At 39.1% G+C, this 18,457-nt stretch overlaps 1 non-coding gene across 1 annotated transcript; it reads left to right on the forward strand.

The window, feature by feature from the left end:
• Positions 1 to 13,425: 13,425 nt before the first annotated feature.
• Positions 13,426 to 13,557, forward strand: LOC124900196 (small nucleolar RNA SNORA63). The gene has a single exon (XR_007059145.1). It is a non-coding gene; the product is annotated as a small nucleolar RNA SNORA63 (small nucleolar RNA).
• The last annotated feature ends 4,900 nt before the right edge of the window (positions 13,558 to 18,457 follow it).

The following is an 18,457-nucleotide window of genomic DNA, read 5'->3' on the forward strand; positions in this document are numbered from 1 at the left end:
TCCAGACAGATGATTCATCTTGTAAAAAGACGATGTAGGTCTGGGTGTGGTGGCTCACGCCTGTAATCCCAGCACTTTCAGAGGCCGAGGCAGGCGGATCATGAGGTCAGGAGTTCGAGATCACCCTGGCCAATACAGTGAAACCCTGTCTCTACTAAAAATACAAAAATTAGCCAGGTGTGGTGGTGCATGCCTGTAGTCCCAGCTACTCGGGAGGCTGAGGCAGAAGAATCGCTTGAACCCAGGAGGCAGAGGTTGCAGTAAGCCAAGATCACACTAGACTCTGTCTCAAAAAAAAAAAAAAAAATGATGATGTAAACTTATAGTATGGATAAATACGGTACAGTACTGGAAATGTATTTTCTCTTCCTTATGATTTTCTTAATAATATTTTTTCTTTAGCTTGTTCTATTGTAAGAATACAGTATATAACACATATAAGATATGTGTTAATTGACAGTTTATGTTATTGGTAAGGCTTCCGGTCAGCAATGGGATATTAGTAGTTAAGTTTGAGAGGAATCAAAAGTTATATGTGGATTATCCTCTGCAGAGGGGCTTGATACACCCTCACCCCCATGTTGTTCAAGGGTCAACTGTAGACTAGTATACCTGTGGAGATAATTACTTTTCTCTTCCAGAGAGCCAAGTCCTTAGAGGCAGAACTTTAAGAAATTCCAGTTTGTCTGTGTTATCTTATTTCTGCCTTTCCTTCCATGTCATATTTCTTTTCTTCTCTGAGACATCATGCCAAATTTAGGAATACAAGCTGTAGCTCAAGTGAGATGAGTTCTAAAACACATGCAGAAATCCTGACAGCTCTTAAATTTTTAGGAAGGACACTGCTTCAGGATCAGAGTGTCTCTCCAAAGTTAATGGCATCTGAGAGCCACTAGTTTTCATCTTCACCATTTTTATTATAAGTGTAGTTTACATTAATTAATTTTTTTTTTTTTTTTTTTGAGACAGAGTCTCGCTCTGTCGCCCAGGCTGGAGTGCAGTGGCGGGATCTCGGCTCACTGCAAGCTCCGCCTCCCGGGTTCACGCCATTCTCCTGCCTCAGCCTCCCAAGTAGCTGGGACTACAGGCGCCCGCCACTACGCCCAGCTAATTTTTTGTATTTTTAGTAGAGACGGGGTTTCACCGTTTTAGCCGGGATGGTCTCGATCTCCTGACCTCGTGATCCGCCCGCCTCGGCCTCCCAAAGTATTAATTATTTTTAAAAAATAAAACATTCTAACTGGTGTTAGATGGTGTCTCCTTGCGGTTTTGATTTGCATTTCTCTGATGGCCAGTGATGATGAGCATTTTTTCATGTGTTTTTTGGCTGCATAAATGTCTTCTTTTGAGAAGTGTCTGTTCATATCCTTCACCCACTTTTTGATGGGGTTGTTTGGTTTTTTCTTGGAAATTTGTTTGAGTTCATTGCAGATTCTGGATATTAGCCCTTTGTCAGATGAGTAGATTGCAAAAATGTTCTCCCATTCTGTAGGTTGCCTGTTCACTCTGATGGTAGTTTCTTTTGCTGTGCAGAAGCTCTTTAGTTTAATTAGATCCCATTTGTCAATTTTGGTTTTTGTTGCCATTGCTTTTGGTGTTTTAGACATGAAGTCCTTGCCCATGCCTATGTCCTGAATGGTATGGCCTAGGTTTTCTTCTAGGGTTTTTATGGTTTTAGGTCTAACATTTAAGTCTTTAATCCATCTTGAATTTATTTTTGTATAAGGTGTAAGGAAGGGATCCAGCTTCAGCTTTCTACATATGGCTAGCCAGTTTTCCCAGCACCATTTATTAAATAGGGAATCCTTTCCCCATTGCTTTTCTCAGGTTTGTCAAAGATCAGATAGTTGTAGATATGCGGCATTATTTCTGAGGGCTCTGTTCTGTTCCATTGGTCTATATCTCTGTTTTGGTACCAGTGCCATGCTGTTTTGGTTACTGTAGCCTTTTAATATGGTTTGAAGTCAGGTAGCATGATGGCTCTAGCTTTGTTCTTTTGGCTTAGGATTGTCTTGGGGATGCGGGCTCCTTTTTGGTTCCATATGAACTTTAAAGTAGTTGTTTCCAATTCTGTGAAGAAAGTCATTGGTAGCCTAATGGGGATGGCACTGAATCTATAAATTACCTTGGGCAGTATGGCCATTTTCACGATCTTGATTCTTCCTACCTATGAGCATGGAATGTTCCTCCATTTGTTTGTATCCTCTTTTATTTCATTGAGCAGTGGTTTGTAGTTCTCCTTGAAGAGGTCCTTCACATCCCCTGTAAGTTAGATTCCTAGGTATTTTATTCTCTTTGAAGCAGTTGTGAATGGGAGTTCACTCATGATTTGGCTCTCAGCTTGTCTCTTATTGGTGTATAAGAATGCTTGTGATTTTCGTACATTGATTTTGTATCCTGAGACTTTGCTGAGGTTGCTTATCAGCTTAAGGAGATTTTGGGCTGAGACGATGGGGTTTTCTAGACATACAATCATGTCATCTTCAAACAGGGACAATTTGACTTCCTCTTTTCCTAATCGAATACCCTTTATTTACTTCTCCTGCCTGATTGCCCTGGCCAGAACTTCCAACACTATGTTGAATAGGAGTGGGGAGAGAGGGCATCCCTGTCTTGTGCCAGTTTTCAAAGGGAATGCTTCCAGTTTTTGCCCATTCAGTATGATATTGGCTGTGGGTTTGTCATAGATAGCTCTCATTATTTTGAGATACGTCCCATCAATACCTAATTTATTGAGAGTTTTTAGCATGAAGTGCTGTTGAATTTTGTCTAAGGCCTTTTCTGCATCTATTGAGATAATCATGTGGTTTTTGTCTTTGGTTATGTTTATATGCTGGATTACATTTATTTATTTGCGTATGTTGAACCAGCCTTGTATCCCAGGGATGAAGCCCACTTGATCATGGTGGATAAGCTTTTTGATGTACTGCTGGATTCAGTTTGCCAGTATTTAATTGAGGATTTTTGCATCGATGTTCATCAAGGATATTGGTCTAAAATTCTCTTTTTTTGTTGTGTCTCTGCCAGGCTTTGGTATCAGGATGATGCTGGCCTCATAAAATGAGTTAGGGAGCATTCCCTCTTTTTCTATTGTTTGGAATAGTTTCAGAAGGAATAGTTCCAGCTCCTCCTTGTACCTCTGGTAGAATTCGGCTGTGAATCCATCTGGTCCTGGAGTTTTTTTGGTTGGTAAGCTATTAATTATTGCCTCAATTTCAGAGCATGTTATTGGTGTATTCAGGGATTCAACTTCTTCCTGGTTTAGTCTTGGGAGAGTGTATGTGTCGAGGAATTTATCCATTTCTTCTAGATTTTCTAGTTTATTTGTGTAGAGGTGTTTATAGTATTCTCTGATGGTAGTTTGTATTTCTGTGGGATCGGTGGTGATATCCCCTTTGCCATTTTTTATTGCATCTATTTGATTCTTCTCTCTTTTCTTTTTTATTAGTCTTGCTACCAGTCTATCAATTTTGTTGATCTTTTCAAAAAACCAGCTCCTGGATTCATTAATCTTTTGAAGAGTTTTTTGTGTCCTATTTCCTTCAGTTCTGCTCTGATCTTAGCTCTTTCTTGCCTTCTGCTAGCTTTTGAATGTGTTTGCTCTTGCTTTCCTAGTTCTTTTGAAAATGTGGCACATATACACCATGGAATACTAAGCAGCCATAACAAATGATGAGTTCATGTCCTTTGTAGGGACATGGATGAAACTGGAAACCATCATTCTCAGCAAACTATCACAAGGACAAAAAACCAAACACCACATGTTCTCACTCATAGGTGGGAATTGAACAATGAGAACACATGGACACAGGAAGGGGAACATCACACTCTGGGGACTGTTGTGGGGTGGGGGTAGGGGGGAGGGATAGCATTAGGAGATACACCTAATGCTAAATGACGAGTTAATGGGTGCAGTACACCAATATGGCACGTGTATACATTGTAACAAACCTGCATATTGTGCACATGTACCCTAAAACTTAAAGTATAATAATAATAAAATTAAAAATAAATTAATTAAAAAAACAATACAGGTATATATAAAGTTAAAATGGAAGATACACCTACTGACTGAACACCCACAAAATCTTCACCAGGAAATACTCACTGTTGACAATTTGGTGTGTAAAACCCCTGCTCTAAAATTAGGGGAATCTTGGGGGGAGAAGGAAACAGAAAGTTATTCATCAAAAGGTAGAAATGTTATGCAAGATGAAGAAATTCTAGCAATCTACTGTACAGCATAGTGCCTACAGTTAACAATACAGTATTGTGTACTTTAAACATTGGCTAAGAGGACAGATTTTATGTTAAGTGTTCTTATCACAAAAAATAATAATGAAGAATATAAGAAGAAACTGTTGCAGGTGATGGATATGTATATAGCATAGATTTTGGTAATGGTTGCACGAGTGTATACTTACCTCCAAATTCATCAAGTTGTCTACCTTAAATATGTACAGCTTTTTGTATGTCAATCATATCCCAATACAATGGTTTTTAAAATAGATAGAGGAATCTCTGTTAAAACACAGTTGCAGTACTCTATAGGCTGCCTTCTTACTTTGTGAGCACTGCTTCGGACAATTTCTCACACCCTGCAGAAAAAGACACCTCCTTCACTTCTGGAGCAGGAGACCAAACTGTGGCTTAATAACCTTGGTATCCGCCAGCCAGAGGAGAATTTCAGTCTTTGTAGACAGTATTCCATAAAGTTCTAATAAAAGAAGCCCAGAATTGCTTAAACATCAGATGAGTAACTATTCTTATTTATTTGTTCCTGACGCAGTATGCCAATCCTTGCAGTTGAAAATTAAACGATAATATACTTCCCCCTCTGCTCCACAAAGCTATAGCTGTTTTCCTGGTGGATAATCAGAGGCCAAAGGGTGGTAATTTATCACAAAAGAGGAATGGGAGGATCGCCAAGAGTAACAAAGGGACAGTGATATCCCTGTTCCTGCTGTATGGCACTGGTTTAATTAAGGTAAAGCTAATAAACCTTATTCCTGATTCTCAACAGTGTGAGGTCAAATTCAGTCTTCTGTAAGCCAAGATAGCCAGCCAGATCACAGAAAATATGTAGGAAGTAACAGATACAATGTTAATCACCTTTTTTATGGCCAAAAGCTATATTCCTAGGAATCAAAAGACTACTGTGGTATAACCTAGTTGGCTTCTTTAAGAATCTGTGATATTTTATACAGACATGCTAATAATATAGGCTATACTAGCAGGAACTAAAAGAAATTAGAACAACCCTCAGAACAAAGATGCAAAGACATTAAGGAACTTAAGTTCTGTGTCTTTCTAAAAATATAAATATATACAGATTATTTTTCATGACAATTGCATGTGCATGTGTGTATATGTGTATGTGTGTGTGAAACCTCTATGTGCATTCTTAGAATCATGTGCTATCGAAGCCTATTTAAAGACTTTCTGGAAATGGCACTAAGGAAATAAAAAGTAGTATTAGTGAATAGATGAGGCATTAAAGCAAATTTTGTAGCTAATAAATTTTGTTTGCAAGTTCAAACTTATGCAGGTGGAAAGGGTGGCTATGGCTATTTACACGAAATGAAACAAGGGAATTCCAAGTCAGTGCTTAGATAATATGAAAATATGTGTAATTTTATATATAAAGAAGAGATTTATATGGATTAGGAGAGACACATCCTTAAAGAATATAGTAATAACAGGCCAGGTGCGGTGGCTCATGCCTGTAATCCCAACACTTTGAGAGACCGAAGCGGGTGGGTCATGAGGTCAGGAGTTCGAGACCAGCCTGATCAACATGGTGAAACCCTGCCTCTACTAAAAATACAAAAATTAGCCAGGCGCGGTGGCATGTGCCTGTAATCCAGCTACTCAGGAGGTGGAGGCAGGAGAATCACTTGAACCTGGAGGCGGAGGTTGCAGTGAGCCAAGATTTTGCCACTACACTCCAGCCTGGGCGACAGAGCAAGACTCCATCTCAAAAAAAAAAAAGAATGTAGTAATTACAGCTAATATTTATTGAGTGCTCACTAACTATGTACAGGCATTATTGAGTGCTTTACACATATTAATTCACTTAATCCCTACCACAACCCTGTGAGTTAGGTTCTATTAATAATACTGCCTCCATTTTACTGATGGGGAACCCAAGGTACAGAAAGGCTGACTTGCCACATATACATGTATATCTCCATGTTAATTCCAACTAAAATAATCACTTTGGGTCATGGAATCTCAAAGTAGTAAGACATTTTAAAGGTATCCTATTTTAGTCCTCCACCAAAAACTTGAACATGAAGTCTTCCACCTTCCCTTGGGATATCTCTTCAGGGAGAAGAAGCTCACAGAAGAAATCTCTTTAGAACCAGCTCTGACTTCTAGAAACTTCTTCCTTCTTGATTGAGCTGAACTCATTTCGCCTGTAACTTTCACTTACGCATGCGGTGTTTGGTCTGTACTCTGGCCCTAGTGGAGCTAATCCCCCCATTCACAAGACAGCTTTTGGATGTTTGTGGAAGACTCTCACATTATCATTGAGACTTCTCTTTAACATATACTGAAAATAATTTTCTCCTAAAAATAAACCAGATCATGTCACTCTTTATTTGAAATCTCTGTTGACTTTGACTCCTGTTTGCCTGTAAGATAATGCCTAAATTCCTTTGCATGGCATGCATATGCCATGGCTCAAACCCAATCGGGGTATATTTCTCACTTATATTAAATCCAGAATAGGTGGGCCTCATCAGCAGGCACCTATGGTCCAACAGTTGATTCAGGAACTCAGGTCTGTTCAACTTGTGGCTTTGCTGTCCTCAACAAGTGGCTCTAAGGTTGACATACATAGTTTCAGTGAGATGGAGTTTAGTTTATAGGAGATTTTTATGGGCCAGATTGAGAATGGTGTAGATTACTTCTGCACACATTGCAATTGTGAGAACTCAATCACATGGTCTCACCTAACTGCAAGGGAGGCTGGGAAATGTGTGTGCTGAGGAAGAGGAGGAAATAGCTTGAGGAGCAGCTAACCACTTTCTAGTGAGGCCTTAACTTTTCTGCTCTAAGTTTCATCATTTACACTTAAACAACTATACTCAAGTCCAACTCAACTTCCTATTATTCCAAAGCACATCAGCTTCTCACTTTGCCTTGTGCATGTTGTTTGCTACATGTAAATTCCTTTCTTTGTTCTGTGAAATTCTATTCATGCTTCAAGCTTCAGTTCAAATATCACTCCCACTCTGCCCCACCTCTCATTTCCCTGACTAGTGGTATTATTTTTCTGCCTCCAGTGTGTACCTACAAAACTTTACACATTCGTGCATTTTAAATTTTATATATTTATATGATATACTAATATATAAAACCCCCATTGTATCATACTATTTTGTTTAACTTCATTATCTTTAAAACGCTTTAATTTATTTTGCATCTCCATGGGCCTTTAATTTCTCTACTTAGACTACTGCAAAGCCTGCATACTGATCTTTCTTCCTGATCATTTTGCAATCCTCCACACAGATCCCAAAGTAATTGATCTGAAATAATATAAATCTTGCTGTGGTACCTAGCTACTACTGAAAACCTTCTAACATGCATGGCATAGGGCAGCTAATCTTAAAACTCAGGGACCCCTGAGTCCCTCCTCCAGAGAGTTTAATTCAGTAAGTCTATAGTAGGGTCCAAGAAACTGCAGTTTTAATAAGTACCCAAATGATTTGAATATAGGAGGTGGGTAGGCCACATCTTGAGAAATATTGGATTACAGGATAAAATCCAAAAGTCCTGGCATGCCATTAGTTCTGTTAATACCAAACTATGTGTATTTCTCTGTATGAATGCCACAGTTTGAGTCCATTTTACTTCTGCATATGCTCTTCCTATATCTAGATTGCTCTTCTCTGAGTAGTCTTCCTAGTGCATTTCTATTCGTGCTTGAAAATGCTGCTTAGGTATCATCTCTCTTGGAACATTCCCATAGCAAAATGAATCTCTTCCTTCATATAATTTCTGTGCCTTGTAAATAGTTATATTTTTAAATATATCATATTGTCAGAGACTCCATCAGCCTGAAGTGAAAGAGAGTAACAAAATAAGAGGCCTTTCTACCCTAAAACTTCGAAAAGCAGGAAGTAAGCTGCAACACACTACTCAGCTGCAAATACACGCCACCTTTCATGAAAATGCAGTAATGGCTCAGAGGCTGAAAATAAGGGTAGAAGGTGGAGCCAAGAACCATGGAGAATTATTCTCGAGGCTTGACTCCTAATCAAGAATTTCCAACTTCAGATTCCCTAGTGGGAAAGCCCTGAACATAGCTGGCAAGTGAGACTGATGCTGGTAGCCCTGCAGTGGCTACAAATTGGTTTTGACATGAATAGATGCTGACTCTGCAGTAGGCTTTGCTTGCCCAGTGAAAGATGAAAATTCTCACTGTGCCATTAAAACACACACACAGAGAACAGAAGATACTGCAAGGATTTGGATAGCCACTTCCTTTACCCAGGCCAGGGAACACACTGTGCCACCCATAATGTCCAACAACAAGCAGAGAGAATCCTCCTTAGGGTAATAGTTTGATAGAGAAATAGAATAGGCCACTGAAACATTGTTTGTCTAAAACAGAGGGAGATGAAAGCATGAAGGGCTGGCTTACACACCTTCACAAGTGTGTGCTCACACTTACATGAGTGGTACTAAAGAAGTGTCCCTACTAGATCTTTCTCTGTTTTTCTGGTTGATCTAGGAAAGAGCGGGCAGGGAGGATGTTGGTATGGCTATGCAATTCTTGCTAAGGGAAAAATAAACTGATATAGTAACTATGATTTTTTTTCTTTCTTCCCCAACTTACCTCAAAAAAATTTTTTTCTCCCTTATTTGATGCAGTGATCTCAGGGCCAAGACTACAACTCTAAGTACTGGAAGCAGAGAGGATTTCTAAGAAACAAACTGTCACTGTGTTTTTAAACTTAGAATTCCTGAAGCTCTGATGGAGGCAGATTGCACCTTCACCTCATCTGGCAAAACTGGGGTTAAGAATAGATACAGCTCTATTGTCTGGTGATAAAAATGGTTCATTAGTTTGAAACCTATGTAACACTATTCTGTGTGAATGGAATGGACTGAAGGGGAGGCACTTGCTAGACTAGTATTGCTACCAGCAACCTCAACCACCACAGTGGCCGAACCTAACATCCCTTCCAAAGGTGAAAAGATTTGGACAAAAATAAATGACAAATGAAGAAAAGAATGAATAATAGTTAAGGGTAAAGAAATGAATAAATGGGTTATAAATTAAGGGAAATTCAATATTACATTAATAACTCTTAAGAGTCCCAGAACAAAAGATGACATTGTCTCCTAGCTCAATTATTCCACATGCCTGAAAGGCTGAAGCTGTATGTTTGCAATGATCCCTTCTCCTTTTGGAGCCTGACAAGATTGAAAGGAAGCCTACAAACCTGAATGGCCTCATACTGGGAGACATTCATACAATATGATGGGCTGGACTAATTATTAATGGCTGTGTGTATTTTTTTGATGTAAAGAATCTATGGTCAAAAACCAGAGGGTGGCCTGTGATGTTATTTTATACACACACACACATACACTTTTATGGATGAAAACATATACATATGAAACATATGTACATATGAAAATATATGTTTTCAGGAGGAGGTCAGAGAGATTCTGTTACATGAGGCCTCCCGCTGAAACATATATATATGTTTTCATCCATGGTTCCCGGCTAATAACTCTCAGAGCCCTTGTTACCGTCTTTTGTTATAATGTTGGGAGTGTCAGGCCTCAGAGGCAGGCCTCATGAAACAGAATCTCTCTGACCTCCTCCTGCCCTCTTTTCACCTGACTGAAGTGCAGGACTCTACACTTCCACACCCTCCCCTCTCTCACTGTGGGTCTTAAGACCCTCTCCAGAGAGGGTCCTGCTCTATACCCTGGAGGAAGGAATGCTGAGGTTATGAAACTTCCTAAAAACCCAAGAGGAAGGACTGGGTTCAGGGAGCTTCCAAGTAGCTGAACACATGGAGATTCCTAGAGGGTGGCATCCCAAGGAGGGCATGTGTATTAGTCAGGGCTCTCTAGAGGGACAGAACTAATAGTGTGTGTGTATATATATAATATATATATATTTTATATATATAATATATATTTTTATATATATATTATATATATATTTTATATATATAATATATATATATTTTATATATATAATATATATATTTTATATATATTATATATATATTATATATATATATATATAATATATATATAATATATATATAATATATATATATAAAGGGAAGTTTATTAAGTATTAACTTACATGATCACAAGGTCCCACAATAGGCTGTCTGCAAGCTTGAGGAGCAAGGAGAGCCAATTCAATTCTCAAAACTGAAGAACTTGGACTCTGATGTTCTAGGGCAGGAAGCATCCAGGACGGGAGAAAGATGTAGGCTGGGAGGCTAGGCCAATCTCGCTTTTTCACATTTTTCTGCCTGCTTCATATTCGCTGGCAGCTGATTAGATGGTGCCTACCAGATTAAGGGTGGGTCTACCTCTGCCAGCCCACTGACTCAAATGTTAAACTCCTTTGGCAACACCCTCACAGACAAACCCAGGAACAATACTTTGCATCCTTCAATCCAATCAAGTTGACACTCAGTATTAACCATCACAGCATGGAAGCTCCACACCCCTTCCCCTATACCTTGCCCTACACATCTCTTCATCTGTATCCTTTGTAACGTCCTTTATAATAAACCAGTAAATGTTAAAAAAAAAAAAAACCCAGTTTGATTTCAGAATTGCCACAGACCAGTTCCTAATCCTGCCTAACAGGGGACCTCACAGAAGCCTGCCAGCTAACTCAGGCTGTGGCCACGGGTTGAAAGAAGCTCCTAACTGAAATTTGTGATATAATCTTGAGTGAAGACAAACCCCACTGGCCAGAACTGAGGGGTGAGTGGGAAGTGTGCTATAACCATAGGTGCCAGAGCTGGGTGCCCCTACTTCATGGGCGGACCCAGAAGGGCATGGCCTGAAAGTTGAGGTTTCTGTGGCAGTTTTGAGTTCTGAGTACAGCCTGCCATAAATCTAGCTAGCTGCTGCTAGTGGAACACTGCAGGTATGAGACTCACCTTGCCAATTAGTTGGGTGGAGCTTACTGCTTAGTGCTTAGTGCTACTTCCCACTCCCCACACAGACTCTTTTGTACAGCAGAGGCAGCTGCACTCCTCCCTGGAACATTACACCAGCAGCCAGAGAACTGCCCTCCAATCCCCACTGTGGCTGCTGTCTGTGCCCTCACTTGGAAAGCCAGAGCTCGAACTTGCCTGACCCAGCCCACATCTATTTTTGCGCCTCGACCCATTGTGGTAGCTTAACACAAAGGACAGAAAGTTTTTGGAGTTCCATGGCCCCAAAGGCACCAGAGGCACTTAAGGCTTCAGAGTATCTCCCCTGAGTAACATAAGGCAAGCACAAATTCCACCACTACCACCACAGCTGGCGCTTTTGCAAGTGCCACCTCCAGGCTGAAGGCCAACCAGCACAGACATTTCAACGTCTGCAGGAACAACACCACAACTCTAGGAAAGAGAAAACTTTTGCACAACCTCGGCTATCACCATTACCTACATCACCCTGGCTAACCAGGAGGTGTTGAGTCTGTCCATGTGCCCAGAACATCACTACTACAGCTGACATTTGAGAAAGCTAACATAGTAAGGCTATTTATAACCAAGGAAACTTCAGAGTCTTTGTCACTCTCCTCCCACCCCCCATCAGAGCTGGTACTGGTACCTGCTACTGGGAGACTAGAGGACAGGTCACAGCACATTCCCCAGCACCAGCCTGGAGTGTGGCAGCCCCACTGGGTGGCTAGACCCAGAGGAGCAGCAGGATTCACAGTAGTCTGGCCCTCAGGGGCTGCTACTCCTAGGCAGAGTGCACCACATTAACAGAACACCCCGTGGGACAAAAGAAACCAACCTGGGAAACATGGTGAAACCCCATCTCTATAAAAAATACAAAAATTAGCCAGGCATGGCGGTGTATGCCTATAGTAGCTACTCAAAAAGCTGAGGTGGGAGGATCACTTGAGCCTGGGAAGTCAAGGCTCCAATGAGCCATGATCGTGTCACTGCATTCCAGCCTGGGTGACAGCAAGACCCTGTCTCAAAAAAAAAAACAAAAAAAACAAAGTAGACACCACTGGGGAACAAAATAAGCTTCATGAGACCTCTGCCATTCCAGCCCCACAGGAAACAGTGAACCCGCTTACATACCCACCACATCACTACTACAACCAGCATCTGAGAAAGCTGTTACAAAAAGATTCTCTGTAACCAAGGAATTTATACAGTGTTCACCACTGAATGCACCTAGAGCTGAAGCTAGGTGACAATAAACTATAAACATTAAAGTCACATCCTCAAGGGGAAAAAATATTTTAATAAGCCTGTCAAATAAAAAATAAATACAAAAATAATTAGAAGAAATAGTCCCTACCCAAATGAAAAAGAACCAGAAAAATAATCCTGGCAATATGAAATAACAGGGTTCTATAGCACCCCCAAAAGATCACATTAACTTTCTGGAGGAAGGTTAAGCAGAAGAAAAGAAATAAGAAAGATCAGAGCAGAACTAAATGAAATTGAAACCAAAAAATGAGAAAGATTAATGAAACAAAAGGCTGGTTGTTTGAAAAGATAAACAAAATTGATAGACCACTACCTAGATTCACCAAGAAAAGATGAGAGAAGATTCAAATAAGCTTAATTACAAATGAAAATGGAAACAATACAACTGACACTACAGAAAGACAAAAGATCATTCGAGACTAGTATGAACACCTCTATGAACACGAACAAGAAAATCTAGAGGAAATGGATAAATTCCTGAAAATATACAACTCCCCTAGCTTGAATCAGAGAGAAATATAAATCCTGAACAGAGCAATGACAAGCAGTGAAATTGAATGAGTAATTTTAATAACCACCAACAAAGAAAAGCCCAGGGCCAGATGGATTCACAGCCAACTTTTACCAAACATTCAAAGAATTGGTACCAGTTCTACTGACACTATTCCAAAAGATTGAGAAGGAGGGAATCCTCCCTAACTCATTCTAGGAAGCCAGTATTACCCTGATGCCAGAGCCAGGAAAGCACATGATAAATATAGATACAAAAATTCTCAACAAAATACTAGCAAACTGAATCTAACAGCACATAAAAAAAAAAAATTCATCGTGATGAAGTGAGTTTCATCCCAGGGATGCAGGGATGTTTCAACATATGCAAGTCAATAAATATGTTTCATCACATCAAGAGAATTAAAATAAAAATCATATGATCATCTCAATAGACACAGAAAAAGCATCTGATAAAATCCAGCCTCCCACGCAGGATTCAGACTAGAATATAGCTGTTAAGTGCTGTGTTGTCATTCTCCCTGCTTAAAATAAAGTTTTTTTCTTAACTATACCTGTCTGCTATCTGCTGTAGCAGCCAGGGATGCTTGGTTTCATACATGTTGAAAGGAATAAATTTAAGAAAAAAAACAGCATTCCTTTATGATAAAAACTCTCAACAAGCTAAGCATAGAAGGACTTATCTCAAAAAAAAAAAAAAAGCCATATATGACAACACCACGGCCAACATCATGCTGAATGGGGAAAAGTTGAAAGCATTCCCCTTGAGAACTGGAACAAGACAAGTATGCCCATTCAACACAGTACTTACTGTAAGTCTTAGCCAGAGGAATCAGACAAAAGAAAGAAAGAAAGGGCAACCAAATTGGAAAACAGGAAGTCAACTATCACTGTTTGCTGACGATATGATCTCATACCTAGAAAAACCTAAAGACTGCCTCAAAAGACTCCTATATCTGATGAATTAATTCAGTAAAGTCTCAGGTTACAAAATCAATGTACACAAATCAGTAGCACTGCTATACAACAAAAATGACCAAGCTGAGAATCAAATTAAGAACTCAATTTATTTTACCATGGCTGATAAATAAATGAATAAATAAATAAATAAATAAATAAATAAATAAAATAGCTAGGAATATACTTAACCAAAGAGGTAAAAGATCTCTACAACGAGAACTACAAAACAATACCGAAAGAAATCATAGCTGTTACAAACAAACGGAAATACATCCCATGTTCATAGATTGCATGAATCAATGTCGTGAAAATGACCATACTGCCCAAAGCAATCTACAGATTCAATGCAATTCCCATCAAAATACCATCATCATTTTTCACAGAACTAGAAACAACAATCCTAAAATTCATATGGAACCAAAAAACAGCCCACACAGCTAAAGCAATACTAACCAAAAGGAACAAATCTGGAGACATCACATTATCTGACTTCAAATTGTAATACAAGACTATAGTAACCAAAATAGCATGGTACTGGTATAAAAGTAAGCACATAGACCAATGGAACAGAATAGAGAACCCAGAAATAAAGCCAAATGTTTACAATGAATTGATTTTTGACAAAGCATACAGAAACACAAATGGGGGAAAGGACACCCTATTCAGTAAATGGTGCTGGGAAAACTGGCAAGCCACATGTAGAAGAATGAAACTGGATCTCTATATCTCACCAAATATGAAAATTAACTCAAGATGTATTAAAGACTTAAATCTAAGACCTGAAACCATAAAAATTCTAGAAGAAAACCCAGGAAAAACTCTTCTGGACATTGGCCTAGCTAAAGAATTTATGACTAAGATCCCAAAAGCAAATGCAACAAAAACAAAAATAAACACTGAGACCTAATTAAATGAAAAAGCTTCTGCATAGCAAAAGAAATAATCTGCAGAGTAAATGGACAACCTGTAGAATGGGAGAAAATATTTGCAAGTAATGCATCTGACAAAGGATTAATATCCAGAATCTACAAGGAACTCAAACAAATCAGCAAGAAAAACAAATCCCATTAAAAAGTGGACAAAGGATATGAATAGTCATTTCTCAAAAGATACACACACATAATATAATTAACACAAATGTCTTTTAAAAGAGGACTAATTAAATTATTGATTACCAATATAGACTCTAAAGGTCTCTACACTATTATTGTAGGATGAAGTACTTAAGATATATTGCTAATTAAATTACAAAGGAGAGTACTGAAAATGTGGGTCACATACTCCCACTTGTATAAAAATGAAACATACAATTAGGAAAATTTTCTGTACTGATACAAATGACCTTTTTGATAGTGATAATTTTTCAAGAATAAAATTATAAGTCAAGTTAAAAAAAAGATATTATCTCTAAAGATACAGAAATGGCCAAAAAACATACAAGAAAATGCTCAACATTACTAATCATCAAGGAAATGCAAACTAAAACCACAATGAGATAACATCTTACCCTAGCCAGAATGGCCATTATTAAAAAGTCAAAAATAATAGATGTTGGTGTGGATGTGGTAAAAAAAATTAATGCTTACAGTCTGCTCCTGGGAATATAAATTAATACAACCTCTATGGAAAACAGTGTGGAGATTTCTCAAGGAACTCAAAATAGATCTTCCATTCAATCCAGTAATCCCATGACTGGATATCTACTCAAGAGAAAAGAAGTCACTATATCAAAAAGGCACCTGTATGTGGATGTTTATTGCAGCACAATTCACAAAGCAAAGATATGGAATCAAGCTAAGTGTCCATAAACTGATGAGTGGATAAAGAAAATGTGGTATAGATACACCATGGAATACTACTGAGTCATAATAAAGAAAAAAATAATGTCGTGCAGCAACTTGAGTGGAACCGGAGGTCATTATTCTAAGCAAATTAACTCAAGAATCAAAAACCAAATACTGCGTGTTCTCACTTATAAGTAGAAACTAAGCTATGGGTACACAAAGACATGCAGGCTTGTATAATGGACATTGGAGACTCAGAAAGGAGGACGACGGGAGGGGGATGCAGGATGAAACACTACCTATTAGGTAAAATGTACTCTACCCGGATGATGGATGCACTAAAATCCTAGACTTTACTACTATACATTTATCCATGTAACCGAAAACCACTTGTACCACTAAAGCTAGTGAAATAATAAGAAAAGAATTACTATGGACTGATTGCTTCTCTCTATCTTCCATTTTTCCTTTTAAAAGTCTTTTTAAATAAGATTGTCTACCATGGTCACGCCAGGCTTACCCACCATTATAGGTTGCCTATGGAGGAGTAGATAACCTGTTTCTTCACTTCATATGTCTTTAGATTGACAGGAATGGTGTAGTAAAGCTATATTTAAGGCACTACAGCCAAAGAGCCTCATCCACACTTGGACCTGATTTTGAAGCCAACATTCTGGATTTTGAGCTGATAATGTAAATGGATGTGAGTTTGGGGGAGGGGGAGCAGTAGGAAGAGTTTATGGTATTTTTCATGTCAAGGTAATATAAATAATTTGTGGTCAGAGGAAGAACTGTGGTGGTTTTCAAACATGTCCACAAATTCTTTGATAGTCCTCCTTTCAAAAGATGGAGACAATTCCCTCTCCCTTTAAGTGTGGCATTACTTAATGATTTGTTTTTAACAAATAGGATGTTGTTAAATTGACAAGGTGTGATATCTGAAAGTGGGACATAAAGAGTATTGTGGACTCCTCCTTACTCTCTCTGTCTCATTTGGTCAGGCATTCTGGGAGATACCAGCTGCCATGATGTAAGAAGCCCTGTGGAGGAGTCCAAGTGGTACGGAACTGAGGCCTCCAGCAAACAGGCTTGTGAGTGAGCCCTCTTGGAAACAGATACATCAACCCGACTCAATGGTAAAATGATGGCAGCCCTGGCTGACATCTTTACTGTCACTCAATAAGAAACCCTGAACCAGAACCACCCAGACAAGCCACTTCAAAGTCTTGTCTCACTGGAACTACAAGATAAAAACTGTTGGTTGTTTCAAGTAAATGTCTAAGTTTGTGCATGATATGATTCGGATTTGTGTCCCCACTCAAATCTCATGTGGAATTGTAATCCCCAGTGTAATCCCCCAGGAGGAGCCTGGTAGGAGGTGATTGAATCAAGAGGGCGGATTTCCCCCTTGCTGTTCTCCTGATAGGGAGTGAGTTCTCATAAGATCTGGTTGTTTAAAAGTGTGTAGCACCTCACCCTTCTCTCTCTTCCTCCTGCTCTGGTCATGTAAGATGTGCCTGCTTCCCTTTCCGCCAGGATTGAAAGTTTCCTGAGGTCTTCCCAGTCATGCTTCCTGTGCAGCCTGTGGAACTGTGAGCCAATTAAACCTCTTTTCTTTATAAATTATCCAGTTTCCGGTAGTTATTTATAGCACTGTGAGAACGGACTAATACATTGCATTAATTCATTATACAGCAATGGATAACTTATACACTGGGTAATTACAAATATTTCTTTTATTCAGTCAGTACCATGTGCTATGCTAGACACTGGGGATATAGTGATGAACCACACAGCCATAATCTCTTCACTCAACCAGACTGGTGGGAAAGGCAGAAATTAAACCAATAAGCACATGGATCCACATTTACAGACTGAGATAAGTGCTGAGAGAGAAGCATATGCCCATGAGGAGAAAAACAGGAGAGACATAAGTTAGATTTGAAGGATCTCTCTAAGGATGTGGCATTTAAGCATAGCTCTAAATGAGAGACAGGATTTAGCCAGGTGCAAATTGTGGGAAGAGACTTCCAGGCAAAGGGAACAGCTTGCACAAAGCCCAGGAGTTAGGGAAGGACTTGGATGAGTCAAAGAACCAAGGGAGGGCAGGGATAGTGACTTGAGTGTGATGGACAAGAGGGAGCTGGTTGAGTTGAGGTTGGAAAGGAGGCCAGAAGTAGATCAATGCAGGAACTTGGTGGGTGATAATGAGTATATTTTAGCTGAGGGAAGCCTCTGAAACTTTTAAACAGAAGAATAATGAGGTTCAACTTATTTTATTAAAATGACCATTCTGAATGTCATATGGTGAACTGACTGGAAGGGGGCAAGAGTAGAGAAGGGAGCCTCTGGCTGTAGATCAGGAGCAAGAAGAAGGTGGAATGGCTGTGAGAGGTAGAGATGGAGAGAGGTGGATGGATGCAAGCAATATTGATGGGGCAGAATCAACCAACTTTTAATCTATCCAGCCCAAACAGAACAAGCAAAACCTCTAATTAAGATCATTCAAAGCAAAAGCCAGACTCCCTAAAAATTTTTCTGTGGGTTATTATCTAATATTTGACTACTTAATAATCATTCTGCTTTTTCTAAAATGACTCTCCAACATATGAACTCTATTGTTAATGTATAGAGAAACAAAATAGAAAGGTAAGTTTTGAACTTTTGACAAAAATTTGAATTATAAGCCTTTTATAAAGTGACCCACTTATATAGCTGAGCTAAGAGTTATCCTTTGAAAAGCTAGACCCATTGTAC

The sequence above is a fragment of the Homo sapiens genome, chromosome 5 (genome assembly GCF_000001405.40).
Source record: "Homo sapiens chromosome 5, GRCh38.p14 Primary Assembly".
NCBI lineage: Eukaryota > Metazoa > Chordata > Mammalia > Primates > Hominidae > Homo > Homo sapiens.